Below are 6,950 nucleotides of genomic sequence, written 5' to 3' on the forward strand. Positions count from 1 at the left end.
GTCCACGCAGGTGTGTAACTTCCTAAACTTAGGATGAAAATCACAATCTTAGAACCATGCACCTATCAAGGACATCAACCAAGCTTTACATATCCAAGCTCCCCTGGCACCCAGCTCAGGAAAAATAGCATCAAGGTTGAGGGAGCACTTAGCTAAGCAGAGTGGAATGCCAGCTCTGCAGATAAACAGCCATGTGACCTGGGGCCTCAGTTCTTCTGAAATAAGGAAATAATACAATCTACCCCAGATATCACAACTTAACTGTAAGGTTCAGTTCTAAGAGTTCCTGCAAATTATTATATAAGTTGTTACTGACTGCTTTCTTTCCTTCCACCATGTTGATCATTTTTCCTACTGTCTTCAGTCTGCCTTACTGCTGCTTGTTTAAAACAGTGACTGTCCAAGAGCCACCTGTACTGTTTAAAAGTTAGCTATACCAAAAGACACCAACTATTACATTTCTCCATGGTAATAAAACAAAAACGGGAAAATTTGCATCTCAAAAACTCTCCTCACCCTGACAAGCGACATAACTTTACCAAAGACGACATGAGTAGATCCTGATCAGTTACACATCACTTCAGGGAGAAACCGCTAAAGCAGCCGACACTTTTTGTAGAAAATCCTACATGTTTCTCTAAGGTTATTAAAATATTTCTGGAGAGGCAAGGAAAGCATACTCAGACATTTAACACTTAAGACAATACCTTAAAAGTTATCCATTCAGCCCTCCTTAAGTGTAAAAAGGGAAATAATAAGAAAAAAGAAAATGAGTTGTAAGCTGTATTTCATTAATATAATCTTGGGAAACAGTGATTCAACAAAACACCCAAATATAAAACTTTAAAATTTTTTAAGTAAATATCTTACAAAAAAGTCTTCAGCATGTTTTTGTGTAAGCAGAACTGAGACAGTACACTAAAAAGCAAATAATCTAAAATAATAACATACTCGTTATCACAAATCAGTCAGAGATGAAATTCTAATCATTTCTTTTATAATCTACTGCACAAGTTTTATCTATCTTCCTTAAAAATCAATGTATTTCCCTTCTTAAGAACTCAATACCAGCTGGGCATGGTGGCTCACGCCTGTAATCCCAACACTTAAGGTGGCTGAGGAGGGCAGACCACTTGAGGTTAGGAGTTCAAGACCAACCTGACCAACATGGTGAAACCCCATCTCTACTAAAAATACAAAAATTAGCTGGGCGTGGTGGCGGGTGCCTGTAATCCCAATTACTCGGTAGGCTGAGGCATGAGACTCGCTTGAACCTGTGAGGCAGAGGCTGCAGTGAGCCGAGATGGCACCACTGCACTCTAGCCTGAGAGACAGAGTGAGACCCTGTCTCCTATTAAAAAAAAAAAAAAAAAAAAAAAACTAGCTTCTCTGCTAAAGCTAACAGTGCTAGTGCCACAGTTGAAATATTTCCCAGCATCTTAGCAACTGTACTTTTTAATATAATCTAAAATAAAAAACACACACCTGTGTAATCATTAGAATGAATTTCTATCTATTCATGGTTTTAAGTAACTCAGTCCCTCAAACTGATAGCATGCCTTATTTTAATCTTACCTCAGATTTGGCTGAGCCAAATTTTCTAGTTTAAACTGCCTAACAATTCTTTACATAAGTTGCAAATCTATGAGCTGAAATGAAGAAACCTCTCAGCAAAGTCTTCATGTTTATTATTGAGTGTAGAGTATGTTCATCAATGCTACTAACCAAAAACCACAGAACATGACATACAGAAAATCCACTGGTTCTTGATGAGTTTATGGGTATAACTGCCACGCAAATCTAAACACACTGAACGCATTAAACCCTAAGTAATGATCTTTAATCATCTGCCCCACCTGATGATTCTTTTAAAGGGCAAGATCTTAAAGACTTTAGCACTTTTCTACATCCCTGCTACCCATCATCAACCAGGGGTAGCCTTCCACTTCAGTTCTCAGGCTAGCGTGAATTCATCATCAAAATTGTAAGATCTAAGTATGCCCATGATCTAAGGCATCTCTTTCACCATCTCTTGCTTACTCACAATCAAACTACTTTCAAAGTCTCATGCATTACTCCCTCTCTCAAGCCTGAACTTGATCCACCTCAGATTAACAGATACATCCCTCTGTGCCAAGATAAGAGAGACTAAATTTAAGCTGAAGTCCCTTGTAACTTTCCCTTCTATCTTCGTCCTGGTCTATGAAAATCTCTATTTTCAAGGCAACATCACCAAGTTTGACCTCAACTTCAGATCAAGTGTGGCCATAATCCCAGTCTCTCCCATGACACAGGTACAGGTTTTGCCTAAAATTTCAAGGTAGTCCATTAACTTGAAGTTTCTTTCCTCTTGGTCTCAATCCTGCCCATGAAAACTTTCCGTTAAAAGCAGTCTTTGCAAGCTTTCCCACTTCAAAACCCTTTCTCACCCAACAATGCCTACAGGTAGACTAAATGAAGGCATGCAAGGGGTTCTGGCAAACTGAAGAATACATGCCTACCTACAAAGCAGCTAATTAACAGTGTGTCAGGAGAAACTTCAGGTAGGCCCACCCTTGCCAGACTCAGGAATATTTTGAAAACTTTACGTGGATCTATTTTTACAGAAAGGTGCTCTATTTCTTTGAAACACTTCATGAGGATCACATCAGGGCAGGCTGCATCTGGGCCCTTTTGACTACCTGCTTGTATCCTCTACCTTAAACTTACATAAGCTGGCTAAAGACTAAATTACCAATTCCCATAGCTTTCAGGATTCACAATTCCCTTCCACTACACACCTCTCTGAAGCATGAAACTCCACTATCTAAATAAATTATTTTACTTTCTGGCTGCTCCTTCGCCCCTCCCCTTCTCTTATTAAAGGTTCTGTGCTTTTTAATCTTCACCATTTTTTTCTCTCTCAGCAGCAACTAGGATCTCAAACTGATCTGCAGCCTAGATTCACGATTGGCACCCCAAGCCATGCATCTCATATAGCCTACACAAGCTATCTCTGATGACTCTTCTGCTTTACACCACCACTTCATCTCTGACCCTTTCATTCTGATTCTTCTTTTCTGGTTCAATCTCATTACCTGGGTTATTGTGTGGTATTTTTTCTAAATGACTTCAGTGAACCCTCTTCCGACAATCTATCCTCTATATTGAACTCAGATGCACACCTAGCCTAACCTTCAAGTTCCTCCACAACTCAACCCCAACCTAAATTCATAGTCTCCTGTTTTTATCTAAATAAAGAGATCATGCTCCACTCAAACCAGACTGTTCTTTGCTGTCCTCTTAGCATACCACCAAAACTGACCCTGACCAAAAAGCACAAACCATTAAACCATTTAAGAAAACAAACAAAAACCAACCCAAAACCAAATACTGGACTTGATCAATATTTTAAAAAGTTCTACTCTTCGGGGTCAGGCGCGGTGGCTCCCTCCTGTAATCCCAGCACTTTGGGAGGCCGAGGTGGATGGATCACCTGAGGTCAGGAGTTCAAGACCAGCCTGACCAACATGGAGAAACCCTGTCTCTACTAAAAATACAAAATTAGCTGGGCGTGGTGGCGCATGCCTCTAATCCCAGCTACTCTGGAGGCTGAGGACTCAGGAGAATCAGTTGAACATGGGAGGTAGAGGTTGCGGTGAGCTGGGATCACACCATTGCACTCCAGCCTGGGCAACAAGAGCGAAACTCCGTCTCAAAAAAAAAAAGTTCTACTCTGCAACAGACACTCTTAAGCAAACAACAGTACAAGCTAATGGGTTAGAGAAACATTTGCAAAACACATTATCTCATAAAGAAGTTAGATCCAGTATACACAAAGAACTCTTAAACTCAATAATTAAAAAAACTAATTATAAAAAGGACAAAAGTTATGAGCAGTCACTTCACCTAAGAGATATAAATGGCAAATAGGGACATGAAAAGATATCCCAATATTCCACACCATTACTGATTAGTCATTAGAGAAATACAAACAAACCACGAGGTACAACACCTACTAAAATGACTAAAATTTAAAGTAAAATAGATACTATGAAATGTTGGCAAGGATACAGGGCAATCAAAACACCTATATGCTGATGGTGGGGGAGCAAAATGATACAGTATTTTGAAAAACTAGCAGTTTCTCACAAAATTTAACATATATTTATCACAACCCAGCAACCTTGATTCCTAGTTACTTACCCAATAGAAAAACTTACCCATGCCTATATAAAAATCTACATGCAAATAGCTTTACTCTTAACAGTCAAAAGCTGATTTTCTAACAAGTGGAAAACGCATAAACAAATATGGTACATATACAATGGAATACCACCCAGCAATAAAAAAAGAACTCACTGATATATGTGAAATAGATGACTCTTGAAAGGATTATGCCAAATGAGAGAATCTAGACACAAAACACTACGCACAGTATGATTCCAAGTAGCCAAACACTTGGAATAGGAGGAAGGGTATTAGCTACAGAGAGACATGGGGAACTTTTTAGGGTGATGAAAACGTTGCGTATTGATTGTGGTGACAATTACACAACTGTATACATTTGTCAAACTTTATCAAACTATATAGTTGATGTTAATTATACCTCAATAAAGCAGAACTTTAAAAACTGTCTCTGAACCATGACTCGTGCTCTGAAATGCTGTTAATCATCTAAGAAATCCTTATAGCCCATTTTTTAGGGACCACTAAAAATGCACAAGACCAGAAAACCACCTCATCATGTTCTCTAATATTAAAGAAACTGCAAAATTCAAATTAATGTTTACATGCAATCATTTACTAAAATCTGTCAACTTCATTTTTAAATGTAACATTGATAAAAACTGCGTTTGAAATAATGTGGTTTCATACTAGAAGAATTCTGAGACTGTTAGAAAACATTTAAAATTAAGATATTCCTATCCTGCCTTTAATTTTTTTAAATGTCATTAATGAGCTATGGACATATTTGAACATGTGAGCTATGGATATATTTGAACATGTGGGGTGAAGTCTCCGAAGATTAACACGACCCAAGGTCTGTGAAGGTCCCTTCTCAGCCCTGAGCCACAGAGATTAACATTCTCAAGTAATAATTACGTGCCTTAAATTTATACTAAGATTAATATGAAACAAAAGTATGCTGTGGTTGCTTGAAAGGTTAATGTAATCTGAAATTGTAGTAACAGAAGTGATGGTAGGCCTGGTCCTTTGGGAAATAGCAAGTTCAACTGCAGTCTGTCCAGCTTAGACCATAGTACTGACTGCAATCCACAGAGTATTTGGCAGATGTTAACCAGGAATGTACAGAATAGCTGGAAACCATGTTAAAGACAAATGTTGACAGGAAAGAAAACAAACAAACAAACAAAACCAGGGTATTCAGTCTAAATTAAAAATAAGGGAAGATGACAGTTAACTCCAAATATCTAAATGGCCATCAAGTAGCAGAATGGCCTTGTTTAATTATGTTCTAGAAGGAAAAACTGGAATCAGGTGTTACACAGAAAGGGCTTTAGCTTAGCATTTCTAAGAGCTATTAGGCAGCCTTCAAGGGTAATGAACTGTTTTGCTTGATGTATCTGGTTAGGGAGGATAGCCATTAAAATTACTTCTAAGTATATGCGAGTACCTTATAAACCTAAAATTCTAGAATTAAGTCATATGCCGTATAAAAAACTTGAGTATAGAATGCTTTTGGATTCTAGCTAAATTGGTTTATTGTAGGGCATCTTTTGTCCCATTTCTCACAAGTTGTGTTAATTTCCTGACATTTGCAGGGTCAATGGTTCTACTTACTGATGGCTTTCTTTCCTTATACCATAATGCAACAAGCAGTTCACCTATTCCAAGTTGAGAGATAAGGAAGGTGACCTCTTCAGGTAATCTCCAAAAAACTTTTTAATTTTCTTGTTGTATAGCACAAATAAATTATTTGATAGTCATAGCTCTATGTGAACAAAGGAAACTAACAACTTTGCTGTTCAGCTGCCAAATTTGTAAGATAAGGAGGTTGAGAGAAGACCATTTTTAAAAGCCACAACTTTGTCAATAACATCAATGGTAAGAATCTTCAGCTTTAGGCTGAGCAAGGTGGCTCACGCCTGTAATCCCAGGACTTTGGGAGGCCGAGACGGGCGGATCACGAGGTCAGGAGATCGAGACCATCTTTGCTAACATGGTGAAACCCCGTCTCTACTAAAAATACAAAAAAATTAGCCAGGCGTGGTGGTGGGTGCCTGTAGTCCCAGCTAACTCGGGAGGCTGAGGCAGGAGAATGGCGTGAGCCCAGGAGGCAGAGCTTGCAGTGAGCCGAGTTTGCACCACTGCACTCCAGCCTGGGCAGCAGAGCGAGATTCCGTCTTTAAAAAAGAAAAAAAAAAAAAAAAGAATTTTCAGCTTTGGTCAGATGTAGGCAGGCTAGAACAACTGGAGATGGTGGGGGATAGACATCATGATAAAAACTCAACTTGCTCTTTCTATGTGGCCATTCTCAATGCACACCCATGATTCCTAGAAGCTCTGCCAAATACCAAACTTTATTCTAGATATCTGAAAACTCTAACACGTAACAGTTTCTCTGTAAGAAAACCTAATGGTCTAACTTCACATTTTACACAGCCCAAGATTAAATAATACGTTACACCACTCTGAGACCTACTTAAAATTGGATGGTCAGATTATAAAGATACACAACAACTTACAAACTACACTTGCAGCTTAAATTAACAAGCAAAATATTCCTCTGGTGAGAGCTGCCATTTCAGTGAGAACAGTCTGACCAAGTACTTAGACTTTTTCAACATAACTTTAAGACATTCTGGCAATGTTGCCAATGCTTAATGTTGCATGAATATCTAACCAATATTTAAATGTAACCTGAAGTATTATTCCACCATGTAAATTATTCCATGGGAACAAAATGAGGCACTTATAGAAGGCACATTAACTTTTTCAAGCCACTA

At 38.5% G+C, this 6,950-nt stretch overlaps 1 non-coding gene across 1 annotated transcript; it reads right to left on the minus strand.

Annotated features, from left to right (window-relative positions):
• Positions 1–500: 500 nt before the first annotated feature.
• Positions 501–599, minus strand: MIR573 (microRNA 573). The gene has a single exon (NR_030299.1). It is a non-coding gene; the product is annotated as a microRNA 573 (primary transcript).
• Positions 600–6,950: the final 6,351 nt, after the last annotated feature.

Source organism: Homo sapiens, chromosome 4 (assembly GCF_000001405.40).
Source record: "Homo sapiens chromosome 4, GRCh38.p14 Primary Assembly".
NCBI lineage: Eukaryota > Metazoa > Chordata > Mammalia > Primates > Hominidae > Homo > Homo sapiens.